This window comes from Homo sapiens, chromosome 16 (assembly GCF_000001405.40).
Source record: "Homo sapiens chromosome 16, GRCh38.p14 Primary Assembly".
Lineage (NCBI taxonomy): Eukaryota > Metazoa > Chordata > Mammalia > Primates > Hominidae > Homo > Homo sapiens.
Window position 1 is genome coordinate 65,757,136 of NC_000016.10, and position 14,769 is coordinate 65,771,904.

A 14,769-nucleotide genomic window follows, 5' to 3' on the forward strand; every position below is an offset into this window, starting at 1 on the left:
CTAGACTGCGTATTTTGTCTCGGAATCTCATCTGCCTCTTCTGGCTGTGTGTCAATCCCCTTCTCCGCGATGAAATTTCATCTCTCCTGGAACTCTTTGGTGAGCAGAAGCTTCTGGTCTCTGGCCAAATGAACAAGGCTTGGACTCTGTGCTCCTCATCCTGCACCCAGCCCTGATTTCCAAACACAATATCCTTTTCCTGATAGCCTGTTGCACCCCATTGTGTCTCTCTCCACACTCATTCAGAGGTTTTAACTCCTTCTCCTAATACCCAAGGGTGCAGATGAGATGGCCTCCCACTTAAAGTGGATTTCCAATTTTCAGAGGACATTATTCAGTTCCACATGCACATATCCTCACAACTTTTGCATGTCTATTATGATAAAGTAACAGAGCACTCCTGTGAAGCCAAGTCCAGGCCCTCTGCCCCTGTATGCTGGAGGGTTAGAAATTGATTAAATTCTAGTATCTAATTGGGAGTTTGCAGGTTCGGAGACCACACATGGTCCATACATCACTGAGATGATCCAGTAACTATGATGGATATATATGTTTACATGCATGTGATAATACAGGCACCCAAGGCCTGAAAAAATATGAGTTTTTGTTGAGACAAAAGGAGCAAATCACAGATTGGGGGCTGCTCCTGAAAATACAAGGTGATAAAAGTGTCATAAATGTGGACCAATGTCAAGGTTCCGTGCAACTAGAAATGGTCCCCAAAATCCGGCCAAAGAAGAATATCAAATTGTGAGAAGGCCTATTCCTGTGATCTCCCTAGGAAAAAGAGTTTTGACTCTAATACTCAGCTTGCTGTGCCTCATCGAGGTCTCTATCTACACTAAGAGGGGATCTTTATCTCCAGCTCCTTTCTCAAGATGGTGAGTGCATTTATTGAGTATGCTGAAGTTCATGCTCTGGAAGGAGAATTTGATTCATGTTACTCCACAAACTGAAATAAATAAGCAAAATAGAGAATAGCAGTGGGCTTTGAGTCTAAGCTTCACTGCTAACAGTGAAGACAGGAACCACCAACTTCAGCTTCACCTGGGATTCTGCAGCAGTGCACACTCTTGGGATCCACCCCAGACTTACTGAATCAGAATCTGCATTTTTATGAAGACCTCCATTCAGAAAGCATTGCTGATCATCTGTGACCCAGGTAGGGGAGGCTACAAGTCACTTCTAGCTCACATTTCAGCCCCTAGAATGTGGCTCTATGAGGTAATGGCTTTTCTTTACTCTAGTAACCCCTCAATAAATATGTTTGGAGTGAATAAATGGGTATTCCTGAGACTCTTGTCCCCCAAGGTCTATATGCACTGGACTGTCCACTCCTGGCTTCAGGAACTATGTTTCTAAGTCTTAAAGTTTGCTTACAAGTTGTCAGCTTCTTCTATGTCTAGCCTCTAAGTTCTAATGTTTTTAGGCTAACCTCAAGATTAGCAGCATTTTATAGCTCGGATGTGAACTCTAGGACAAACCTTTGCTTTTGCCTTTGCCCTGTGCATTTTTAAACCGCTGTTAATAGCAAGAATCATTTCCAGTTTGCTATCAGAAGCCCAAAATGCAGAGCCAGGACAGATACTGTTTAATATTTTTTTAATTTCCCCCTGACAGAGCCACGATCCAGCCTGTGTAACACTATTGAACTTCCCCCTGACAGAGCCGTGACCCAGCCTGTGTAACACTGTGTACACAATAGAGCCATGACCCAGCCGATGTAACAGTATTAAACATCCCCCAGCCAGCATTAACTCCAATCTTGACTGTGACTGCTTTGTCCCAAATATCAGTGAAAACAGAATATAAAATAGACTCTTTTGCTTCCTCAGTAACACTTTTCAAAGTAGAGTGGATGTTTCTCTTTTTAGTCTGACTTAGCTTTACTGCAAGCAATCATAAAACAAAACAAAAACAATATTGAAAGGGAGGCTGGGGATGTGAAAAGTGAAAAATATTCAGGGCAACTTTAATGGTCTTTTCACCATCTTTATTTAATGTTCAGGGTGCATGGGAATCTCGGAAACAGGACAGTCATTACTTTTAGCTCAACCTTCTCTACTGGGTGAGAGGCCTCTTTACCTAACCTCCTGTCCAGATCTGGAGTTCAGCCTCCCCCAGTATTGGCCAGCCCTGCCCTCCTGAAGGCCCATTTCCTGTGTCCCTGACACCCCTCACACAGGCTTGTCACCTTCACATACTGTCTCCTCCCAAGTACAAGCACTCATTTACCATCACCCTCACTTCTTCACATTCCATCAAAATGTGTCTTTACTTTCCCATTTGTCCCCAGCTAGGAGACACAGTAACCCAATAGAAAAAGTGTGGACTTTGGAGTATGATAGCAGTGATTTAAAATCCCAGCCCTAACTCTTGATTGTCTAAAGACTTTCAGTAATTCATTGAGCATCTTTATAACTCCACTTCATCTTCTGTAGAATGGAAACAATAGGATAGCGAAGAACCACATAGTGTTGTTTTTCAGGTTTAGAAAGTTAGCTCATATAAGATACATAGGACAGGATGGGTGTGTTGGTTCACACCTGTAATCCCAGCACCTTGGGAGGCCAAGGCAGGAGGATCACCTGAGGTCAGGAGTTGGGGACCAGCCCGGCCAACATGGTGAAACCTCCTCTCTACTAAAAGTACAAAAATTAGCGGGACATGGTGGCGGGTGTCTGCAGTCCCAGCTACTTGGGAGGCTGAGGCACAAGAATCGCTTGAAGCTGAGAGATAGAGGTTGCAGTGAACCAAGATCGTGCCACTGCACTGCAGCCTGGAAGACAGAGAGGGACTCTGTCTCAAAAAAAAAAAAAGATACATAGATACATAGGAAAATGGTTAGTCCTCGATAACTTCTCCCACTTTATTTACCATGCCCTCATAAACCAAAAATAAAATTCTAAGGCCCCCCAACCATCGGAATGGACTGGACCCCTCCTGTTGGCCAAAGGCATTCTGGAGTTAACCTGAAAATCCAGTTTAGATCGTGATGGAAGAGGGGGTTGGACATGACTCCTTATACCCCTCCAGCATTAATGTCAACACAGATGTTAAGTCCTATAAGAAACAGACCTTAAGTCCTATAAGAAATATTTACGATCTGTTCTCTCTGAAGCCTGCTACCTGGAGGCTTCGTCTGCATGATAAAACCTTGGCCTCCACAACCCCTTATGGAAACCTAGACATTCCTTTCTACTAATAAGAACTCTTTCAATCAATTGCCAATCCGAAAATTTTTAAATCCACCTATGTTCTGAAAGTCTCCCCTCCATCAAACCAATGTAAATCTTACATGTAATGATTGATGTCTCATGTCTCCCTGAAATGTACAAAAGTGAGCTGTACCCTGACCACCTTGGGCACATGTTGTCAGAACCTCCCTAGGCTATGTCAGGGGCATGTCCTTAACCTTGGAAAAATAAACTTTCTAAATTGACTGGGGCCTATTTCAGTTATTTGGGGGTTCCTGAGGAGTCTACAAATCAGGCCAGCCTAGAACGGGGATGAGAGGATTCCAGGAGCCCACATCACCTTATATGTGAGATTAGACCCAATCTTTTATCTCTCCGACTGTCACAGAAAACGCACAAAAACAAGACATCTTGAAAACCAGTAAGTGGAATTTGAAAGCCTAGAATAAAAAATTTATTATAGAGAAAAAAAGACACTGATTTTCGAGACACTGGCAATTGAACTCCGCCTCTGACAAGCTGTGTGACCTCAGGCAACTCACTTGAGCTTCTGAGCTCCCATTTCCTCATCCGTAGAATGGGGATAGTCATGGCTCCATGCAGAGCAGGCAGTGGGATTAAATAAATGTGTTTAAACATCGAAAACAACAGATCCACTCCTAGAGATAAATAAGAGTCTGTCATCTCTGTTGTCTTTTCAAAAAGTGTCAGGGACTGTCAACACAGAGGAGGCGACATCACAGCCTGCTCCTCAAGCAGAGACAGTGACTCCTGAGCCATCAGCACAGGAGTGATCACTTGAGCTATTCATTATAAATATTCCACAACAATGTCATTTTAATGCTCCCAAAAGAGCACCTGTTATTTATGCCACAAATTGGACGCTCTGTGGCATAAATCATCAAGATGCACTTCCCATGTGTCTTAAATGAAGGAATGCCATTCCAACCAATAAGGTAAATATTAAGCAAAACAAAAACAGACAAAGCACAGAAACACCCCATGCTGTGACTTTAATAGTTGATCAATTGCAGATCAAGAGCTTTAATTTCTCCTCAGCTTTGGGTTGACAGCAGGCGCCAAGTTCTCACTCTTTTAGAGATGATTACTTTGCTGAAAAACAAAGGCTCCATTCAACAGACCTTGGCCAACAAATACATTCAAACCTGGGACTCTCCCAGAGACATATCCAGATAATGAACAGCACCATAACATGGCTAAATGACCCCCACACAAGAGGGCTGTACTGTGACCATCATCCCACCACACTGCTGTGTTGTGTGACTGACTCTGTTTCTCTGACTAGATCATTAGCTATTTGAGGGTACAGGACTTGTCTGTTCCAGAATCCAGGCCCAGCCTAGGTATCAGGTAAAAGTTTGCTTAATGAATTTCCTAGGACAAAAAAGTGGTGGTCAAACCAATGTCTGCCTCTCCTGCAGGCCTGGGATCCACCATTAACATTCCTTTGCTACCATCATGTGAAGGTTACAAATCTCTAATTCTACCAGGCTCTGCTAATTACCACTTTCTCTTTGAGTCCTCCCCTAATATTTTGCAGAATAACTTGCTGAAGCAGCATCTCTGGGGTAAATACCTGGGATTCATCATCTCGCACCACAAAAATTAAGGACACAGACACATGTGGGTGGGTTAAGGAGCTGAAAGTTTAATAGGCAGAAGAAAGGAGATGGAAGAGCAGCTCCTTGCCAGAGAGAGGCATCTGAAAAGGGGAAAGGCAACTGATGGCTGCAGATTTTATAAGAAGGCTTGGGAAGGCAGTGTCTGATTTACCTAGGGCTCAGAGATTGGTTTGACCAGCTGTGACATTTACATAGCATGTGGAGAAGGCTGGTCACCCCACCCTAATCTTATTATGCAAAAGAGCTTTCCACTTGGCCAGCGCCATCTTATTGGCTCCTTACTGTACATGTGGCTAGCAAAAAGAGAAGATGGGCACGACTGCTGGCATTCACCTGTGCAACCATCCGGCTCACCTGTTCATGTCTGCAGCCCAATTTTATGGGCTGCTCTTTGTTAGAAAAGAAAATGATTTGGGGGCTGGTTTTCATTGAAAGGAAAACCTTACTAAGGACTTCTATTTCCTCACTATCTGCCTAAGGATTTTCTTAACTCCTATATCATTGCTAATAATAATTGTTGTAACTATAATAACCTGCATTACCTCCAGTCCCACCTAGAACATTTTCTGGATCACACCCATTTCATCTGACAGCATCTGTGTCCTCAACTGATGATGATGGAGGCATTGCCATCTTCCAATGCTGGGAGAGGATGGGGATACATGGAGATACCATGTCCACTGGAGTCAAACAGACCAGACTGGAATCATGACTCTACCAGGTAACATCTGAATGGCCTTCAGCAAGTGATTTAACTTCTCCACAAAATGGTATAATAAAATTTGTCTCATAAGCTATTCATTCATTTTATAAATATTTGTGGAGTGCCTTATTTTCCAGACACTGATATAGGCACTGGGAATTCTGCAGTGAGCAGAACAGACACTATTCCTGATCCTATTCTGGTGAGGTGCAGAGAGGTAGCCTCTTTGAAAGTTGGTAGTCTATAGGAATAACTCAACAAATATACACTTATTTCATTTGTAATGCCCAGAACTATGCTTTGACATAATACCTGCTCCATAAGTAATGAGAAAATAAATTAAGTAATTGCTTCTAAATTAGCCAAAGCCAGATTTAGCATACTTTAAGCAACATGATTATTTCTCCTCCTAATTAGGTGTAATTCAGTTCAATTGTCATGGCATGTGTCTTCACAGAGTCAAACCTGTTGGTTTGGGGAATATCAAAAGGAATAGGTCATATTCTGCTGGGATGGGAGGAAAGTGAGATGTAAACAAATAAATATAAAAACCATGGAATATGCACATGAAAGACCAATGTACAAGGCTATACAGAGGAAGGAGTGAATGTTCAGGTTAGAGGTGGCCTCCCTGAAGAGATCACATCTGACCAGGCCGGAGTAGTCAGGGCAGGGAAGTTTCGTTACTAGATATTCAGCTGCACCCTACTCATCTGATACATACTTATTGAATAGCTCTGTGTGTCCAACCCCATGCTGGCTTCTAAAGGTCAAGTTTAAGGCTCTGACCCAAAGTGTCTGCAGAGGAAGTAGATCTTTCCCAGAGGAGCTGGTGAGGAGCCCTGTGGTGCTCAGAGATTGGTCTGCCCTGAAGTAGTCAGGGAGGGCCCCTTGGAAGAGGGGCAGGTGAACCCTAAAGAGAGAGCAGCGTTGAAGCAAAGTGGGAGGGGACATGCCCTCAAATGCGGGCCACATTTCCTGCATTTCCTCTTCTGGCATTTTTTCTCTTAGGCAAGACTTCTTCAAGCATGAACCATCACCCTCTGTGGAAGAATGAGCCAAAGAGAAAAATCACCACTGAGAACAATTATTTTTGACTTCAAAGGGCATCTCAGTATCTTCAAAGGGTATCACTTCACACTGGGCAGAAAACAGATGCCAGACCACCTGGTCTGCGGTCACTGGGGGAGTGGGTTACCCAACAGGGCAGACCTCAAACTTCTCCAGCAAAGAGAAGCTGTGAGAGGCCCTGTGTGGCCCTAGAGCTGGTGGGAGGCGCAGAGGGTGGTGGTTCCTGGCTGTCTCTTCTTGCCTGAGTCTATGAATTACAAACTGCCTGCCCACCACCAACAGTCAGTGCTGAGCTAAGCAAAGCGAGCAATCCAGGCCTAGGCTAAATAAAGTTCGGCTGCTTTCTGCCTTTCTCTACTGGTCAAAGTCCTTTCCACTCACAAGAGCTGCACGTTTAAGAGACATGACAAAAGCCAGGCAGAAGGAGTGATGGATGGAGGATCAAAATTGCAAGACAGAACATTGAATAGCCCTAACCTCCTCCAGATCCCTTCTATTTTTCTCCTCCGTCCTCATTGTTTCTGTCAGGTGTCACTAATAAAATCTTGATGCACACATTATCAACAATAGAGTGAAGTTCAGCAGCCGACAGTCTTGTGAGCCTCTGTGCTCCCAGGAGAAACAGAGAAAGCCTGAGCTGGTACAGGGAGTGTCCTCTAATGTCTGGCCCTGTGGGAATGACACTCACCAAAGGGGTACATAGAGTGGGTTAAGGGACCTGAGGCCTGCAGAAAAGGAAAAACCAGGTGTCCATCCCTCTCCTCCTGGAGCATCTTTGCCCCAGTTTCTTCAAATGCTTTCAATTACTCTCCAACTTTGGGCAACCTGCGCTTGGTCACGTGAAGGGAAATTACTTGATCACTGTTATGGGCTGAATTGTGTCCTCAAAATTAATGGATTGATGCTCTAATCCCCAGGACCTCAGAACATGGATCTTGAAGACCCTTGTAGACGGGGACTTCAAAGAGGTGATTAAGTCAAATGAAAGCCATTTGGGTAGGCCCAAATCTAATCTGACTGGTATCCTTATAAGAAGAGGAGATCAGGACATAGACACGCACAGATTGAGGGTCTACCATGTAAGGATACAGGGAGAAGGCAGCCACCTGCCACCAAGAAGAGAAGCCTCAGAAGAAACCCACCCTACTGACACCTTGATCTCACATTTCCAGCCTCCAGGGACTGTCAGAGGCATTTGAACCAGAGTGACTCCATCTTGAATAGGACCTGGGTAAAATGAGGCTGAGACCTACTGGGCTGCATTCCCAGGAGGTTAGGCATTCTTAGTCACAGGATGAGCTAGGAGGTCAGCACAAAATACAGGTCACGAAGACCTTGCTGATAAAACAGCATGCGGTAAAGAAGCTGGTGAAATCCCACCAAAACCAAGTTGGCGATAAAAGTGACCTCTAGTTGTCCTCACTGATCATTATATAGTAATTATAATGCATTAGCATGCTAAAAGACACTCCCACCAGCACCATGACAGTTTACAAATGCCTTGGCAATGTCAGGAAGTTACCCTATATGGTCTAAAAAGGGAGGTGAACCCTTAGGTCTGGGAATTGCCCACCCCTTTCCTGGAAAACTCATGAATAACCCTTCCCTTATTTAGCATACAATCAAGAAATAACCATAAAAAGAGCCAACCAGCAGCCCATGCTGTTTGTCTGCCTAGAGAGTAGCTATTACTTTTTATTTATTTTATTATACTTTAAGTTCTGGGATACATGTGCAGAAAGTGCAGGTTTGTTACATAGGTATACACGTGCCACGGTGGTTTGCTGCACGCATCAACCCATCATGTACATTAGGTATTTCTCCTAATGCTATCCCTCCTCTAGCCCCCCACCCCCCGACAGGCTCCAGTGTGTGATGTTCCTCTCCCAGTTTTTTTTTGTTTTGTTTTTTGTTTTTTTTTTTTTTTGAGACGGAGTTTCGCTCTTGTTACCCAGGCTGGAGTGCAATGGCACTATCTCAGCTCACCACAACCTCTGCCTCCTGGGTTCAAGCGATTCTCCTGCCTCAGCCTCCCGAGTAGCTGGGATTACAGGCATGCACCACCACACCTGGCTAATTTTGTATTTTTAGTAGAGACAGGTTTTCTCCATGTTGGTCAGTCTGGTCTCGAACTCCCAACCTCAGGTGATCCGCCTGCCTCTGCCTCCCAAAGTGCTGGGATTACAGGCCTGAGCCTCCGTACCCTGCCAGAGTAGCCATTCTTTTATTCCTTTACTTTTTTTTTTCTTTTTTGAGACAGAGTCTCACTCCATTGCCAAGGCTGGAGTGTGTAGTAGCATGATCTTAGCTCACTGCAACCTCTGCCTCCCGGACTCAAGCGATTCTCCTGCCTCAGCTCCCAAGTAGCTGGGATTACAGGCAACTGCCACCACACCTGGCTAATTTTTGTATTTTGAGTAGAGATGGGGTTTCACCATGTTGGCTAGGCTGGTCTTGAACTCCTGACCTCAGGTGATCCACCTGCCTTGGCCTCCCAAAGTGCTGAGATTACAGGCATGAGCCACCGCACCCAGCTTATTTCTTTACTTTTTTAATAAACTTGCTTTCACTTTATGGACGTGCCCCAAATTCTTTGTTGCATGCGATCCAAGAACCCTCTCATGGGGTCTAGATCAGTACCCCTTTCCAGTAACAGGACTATGAGAAAATAAGTCTGTTGTTTAAGCCACTTACTCTACAGTCCTTTGTGATGGCAGCCTGAGCTGACTAAGACAGAGTCTACAGTTACATCTGACATAGACAACTTTAAATATGGCACACTCAGACTGACAAGGGGTATACAGGGCCAGAAAGGACCAAGCCCACACACGCACACACACAAACACACATGACATGTTCACTCACCCCATTTGTGGTTGATATAATGGAATACTCAGAACTTCCAAATGTCCAGTCCTCTCTTTTGAAAGAAGCAAATCCTTTTTCTTTTTTCTTTTTTTGAGACGGAAGTTTGCTCTTGTTGCCCAGGCTGGAGTGCAATGGCGCGATCTCAGCTCACCACAACCTCCGCCTCACAGGTTCAAGCAATTCTCCTGCCTCAGCCTCCCCAGTAGCTGGGATTACAGGCATGTGCCACCAAGCCTGGCTAATTTTGTATTTTTAGTACAGACAGGGTTTCTCCATGTTGGTCAGGCTGGTTTCGAACTCCCAACCTCAGGTGATCTGCCCGCCTTGGCCTCCCAAAGCGCTGGGAGCCTCGGCCTCCCAAAGTGCAGGCATGAGCCACCGCACCCAGCCTGCAAATCCTTTTTCAATAGCTTTGGGATGGTGGGATTGCAGAACTTTCCTTTTTAAAATGTTGTCATTTGCCATTTTGTTGGGTTAGTTTAACAAAAAAATTTTTCTAATCATAGAAAATATTTGCTCACTTTGAGCTAAGTGGTCAAATTGCCCATTTGAGGCAATGGCTGTTGTAGCTCTAAACCATGAACTTTGTCCTTCAGGGCACAGGGGAGTCTCATAAAAAACCACAGACACAGAGCCACGTTTGCTATCACTGAGCTCAGCTGTCTCTGAGAGTTCGGGACATGTGTGACATCTGTGGTCCTGCTACGACAATTCCCTGCATCCCTTTGTAACCTGATGCCTTTGTCATACTGAAGAGTTCCAGCCGGGAGGAAAGGGACTAATTGAAGGCCCAAGGTTTCCATTCCTTCAGGGAGGAAACTCATTTCATGGCTTTCTTCATCTCTGCCTGTCAATCAGCTTGCATGTATTGTCAGCCAGCTGAGTGTGGGACACCAGGGTGGTTGTAGAAAATATAGAAATTTGAAGAAATAAATACCCCACTGGCAACATTATTACAAATCACCTCCCCAAAATAACAAGATGTGGGGCAAAAGCGATCATTTCTTCCAGGGAATCCTAAAATGTAATATTCCCTGCACCAACACAGTACCTTACTCTGTAATGACGAGCTTATGTTCTCTCCTAACTTAGCCCACAATACTTTGGCCTTTATTTCCTGCCTACTGCCTACTTCCTACTTCCTACCTAGTTAATTCTGATGGAGCATGTGGGGCACGAAACACACAAGTGCACCAGCTCACAGTTGCACACACCTACCTAAGCTAATTTCCCCACATTGGCTGTGGTCTCAGATATCTCCACAACCCCTCCTTCCAATCTTTTCTTCCATTGCCACAGAGCATCTAGTTGAGTACTTGACATTTCCTTTGAATTAAGGCTGCACATTAAGTGGACATTTTCCCTTAGATGGATGTCTATTTAACCCCTCCTTGTGGCTAATCATGCCAGAGGATGTGATTTCACCTATTCCTTTCACATACACACACACTGCTTGAAATTTGCCAGCAGGTCCTCAATAAAGAAATAGCCCTGATTGCTCATTAAAAGCAGGAGAGAAAGCAATTAAAATACAAAAGGCAGAGCAAAGCTTAGCGCTCCAAAGTTGAAAATTGAGCAAGCATTGTGGAAGGTGTGGAATGAGTTCTGGACCAGGTGGGAGGAGGAAAGAGGATTGAGGTCTGTACTCAGTGAAGTCAGTAAAATCACAAGTGCAACAGACACAGCCTTCCTGGCCTTGGAGGAGAAAGAGAGCAGGCAGCACAGCCCCAGCAGGCCTGGCGCTAAGCATTCAGTGTTTTCATTTAATTTTATTTAAATTCAATTATACTCATTTTGTTCATTGAAATGAGCTAGACAAGAAATAATATTTCTTTTTTCTAATTTTTTCTCCTTTCTTTTTTCTCTGTAAGGCTCACATTCCACTACTAGACAGAGCCAGCTTCGTGAGCATGTGTGCAGGAAAACAGAAGCCACACTTAGAAGGGCTCCACATGGGGTTCAATGTTCTATTGTTGTCTTGTGAGAGAAGTAAAAATAAAATCCTAAGCTTCCCCAACCAACTTAATGGACCCCCTCTCAACCAATGGGACCCCAGAAAAACCTTGAAAACTGAACTGCTGGCCATATGGGCTGGGAGGTTGGACATGCCTCATTATGCCCTCTCCCTCGCTAACCACCATTAGGCTCTGTTTCCTAAGGGCTAACCAGAAACCACCCCTATGGAAAGACTTGTTCCAGTTCTGATTTCAACCAACCTTGTGACTGTCCCTCCCTTTTGTGGTTTTGTTATGGTCTCACCAATGCACCATAATATAGCAGTCTCTCATAGCCCAAGGTATCACCCGAAGTTCTTTGTCTCACAACCGAGAAAGTTAAGGAGCATGGGCACCAAGGGTGAGGTAGAAGCAAAAGTTTAACAAGTGAAAGAAAGAGAGAAAGCTCTCTGCCGCAGAGAGGGGTCCCAAAAAAGGGTTGCGTTTCACAGTTGAATACAGAGGCTTTTATAAGAAACTGATGCAGGCTGGGCATCTCATTTGCATAAGGTGTGAATTTCTGGTAGCTTCACCCCTTCCTCCTAGCACACATGTGGGCCCTTAGCTTGAGTTACTCCATATTGCTATGTTCCCCTTACTGTGCATGTGTCAGGCAACAGAATTTTCCATTGCGAGCATGTCTGGGCAAGTCTCCTGTGTAGGCTTTCTTATCTGTGTAGCTGTAGGCATATCTTATGCAAGCCTCCCCTGTGCAAGTTCCCTTATCTGTGCCTGCAGGCTATTCTTTTGTTTGAAAGAACTCAACTGAGGACCTAACTGCCTGCCTGACTGGTTTCTTCCTTCCTCCTCTCTCAGTTTCAACACAGCAACCACCCAGTATTCCTTCCTGATAAGAGACCACCACCAACAGAGTGGTTCTGGCCAGTGAATGGAGGATGTGCAGTGAATGTTTTCATTTCTTCTGATTCTCTTTTTGACATCAGAGGGCCAAAAACTCCATCCCTGGATCGTACTATTCCACTATTTTTTGAACATGGAACTCATGAAGAAGAATAAAGCTCAATCTCCCATGTACATTTTTGTCCTTTCATGAATATTCATAGATCCTCCTGTAACCTATTGAATATGTGTGTTTGACCACTCCATTGGTATATCCAAGGATGGAGTTTTTGGCCCTCTGATGTCAAAAAGAGAATCAGAGGAAATGAAAACACTCACTGCACATCCTCCATTCTTTGGCCAGAACCACTCTGTTGTTGGTGGTTGCAGTGTTGAATACTGGGTGGTTGCAGTGTGGGAAGGAATACTGGGTGGTTGCAGTGTTGAAACTGAGAGAAGAGGAAGGAAGAAACTGGTCAGGCAGACAGTTAGGGTGGGTCCTCAGTTGAGGTCATTCAAACAAAAGAACAGCCTGCAGGCACAGATAAGGGTTTGACCACATGAATTCCAGTCTAATTCTTCCCACCCTCAAAGCACTTTTTTCTGGCTTCTGACTGATGGCTAGGCTTTCCAGATGGTCAGAATGGCCACCCTGCAGGGGCAATACTTTACGAGAAATGAAGCTCTCCTTTCCAAATTTATGAAGTTTGCCATTCTTGAGGTGACTCTTGAAATTAATTTTTGAACAAGGAACTCTACATTTTCATCTTGTACTGGACCCAATAAATTGCTGACAAAGATTCTTTGTTTGTCCAAACTTTGGTCAGGCTCCTGAGCCTTCTCCTAGGCTCATCTGTGCCCTTGGCAGATTTTGCAAGGAGCCCAGAAAAATCAGGTTAGCCAGAAATCCCTACTCTTGATATCTGATCACCCTCTATACCTAATCAGGTTCCTCACCCTCCACCATTCCCCATCTGGTGTCTGATCACCCTGGCCTTTCTTCAGCAAGAATCTTGTTAGGTTGGTTTAGCCAGAAATCCTTCCCCTTATCTCTGATGTTTCCTCTTAGTAATTTTCCATCCGCTGGCCCCAACCCTGCACCTTGGCTATAGATTTTGACTTGTCCATATACGTTTTGAGTCGAATCTAATCTCTCTCCCTGACTGCAAAACCCCATTACAGTAGTCCCTACGCCTATTGACATGATCCTGAGTAAAGTCTACTTTACCAAGAGTTAACAAGTATTGAATTATTTTTTAACATTATGTAGCCAGTCCTGCTTGTAGAATATTGTCCAACCCAGGTTAAATCCTTTCTAAACCCTATTCCAGAACCCTGGAAAGGAAAACTTCCCTTTCCCACAGCTCCCTCTCTGCCCTGCATTGTCTGTTCTGTTCTTCTCTGGTCTGTCCAGCAGATCTGTTGGTATCACTTTGAGAGAGGAGGAAGGAAGAAACCAGTCAGGCAGGCGGTTAAGGTAAGTCCTCAGTTGAATTCTTTCAAACAAAAGAATAGCCTGAAGGCACAGGTAAGGGAACTTGCACAGGGAGGCTTGCATAAAACATGCCCACAGCCACACAGATAAGAAAGGCTACAAAGGTGAGTTGCTCAGACATGCTCAAAATGGAAAATTCTGTACCCTGACACATGTGCAGTAAGGGAAACAAAGCAATATGCAGTAACTCAAGCTAAGGGCCCACATAAGCACTAGGAGGACAAGGTGGAGCTACCAGAAATTCACACTTTATGCAAATGAGATACCCAGCCCTCATCAGTTTCTTATAAAAGCCTTTGCATTCAGCTGTAAAAATGGCAACTCTCCTCTAGGTGCCCTCTCCACAGCGGAGAACTTTCTTCTTTTGCTTATTAAACTTTTCCTCCAACCTTACCCTTGGTGTCCATGCTCCTCAGCTTTCTTGGTCATGAGACAAAGGACTCTGGGTACCACCTTGGGCAATGAGAGACTGCTACATTGTGGTGCTTCCAAGATTGACTATAAATTAAAATAAGAATCCTGGAGAGCATTTCCTGGGAGGATTCTTCATTGGCCTGAATTATTTGTGGGGAAGTGATTCTGCCTTCAAATTGTTCTGCTCCTGGGTAAGAAGCAGAGAACTACTATCACCATAGAACAATTGTACCAAGCAATGAAAATTCATCCGAGGTATTAATTAGCTCAATATTTATCTCATCTAATATGCAAATTAAGACACTGCGGTCTCATTAGTGTCATCTGTGTTTCCTTTAAGCAAAACGAAATCTCTTGCCAATGCAAGAAAAAGAAAAAAAATCAGTATTTCTCTTTGAAGCTAATGAGGGTGTGATTTGGCTCTTCCTTTGTTATGAGGTAGCAAGTTAGGAAAAACACGTTTTAAATATGCAAAGTATGGCCTGACCTCATCTATCAGAGGCAAGATCACAGCCTTGATGATGTGTGGTTATTAGGTTATATG

General features: G+C 44.2%; 3 annotated features.

Moving 5' to 3' along the window:
- Positions 3,817–4,554: an enhancer, noted in NCBI's record as "OCT4-NANOG hESC enhancer chr16:65794855-65795592 (GRCh37/hg19 assembly coordinates)". NCBI's record gives its function as "activates a minimal SCP1, AML or CMV promoter by ChIP-STARR-seq in naive H9 embryonic stem cells {active_cell/tissue: H9 hESC(naive)}" and the evidence as "EXISTENCE:reporter gene assay evidence [ECO:0000049][PMID:30033119]".
- Positions 9,853–10,353: an enhancer, noted in NCBI's record as "H3K4me1 hESC enhancer chr16:65800891-65801391 (GRCh37/hg19 assembly coordinates)". NCBI's record gives its function as "activates a minimal SCP1, AML or CMV promoter by ChIP-STARR-seq in primed H9 embryonic stem cells {active_cell/tissue: H9 hESC(primed)}" and the evidence as "EXISTENCE:reporter gene assay evidence [ECO:0000049][PMID:30033119]".
- Positions 11,677–12,177: an enhancer, noted in NCBI's record as "H3K27ac hESC enhancer chr16:65802715-65803215 (GRCh37/hg19 assembly coordinates)". NCBI's record gives its function as "activates a minimal SCP1, AML or CMV promoter by ChIP-STARR-seq in primed H9 embryonic stem cells {active_cell/tissue: H9 hESC(primed)}" and the evidence as "EXISTENCE:reporter gene assay evidence [ECO:0000049][PMID:30033119]".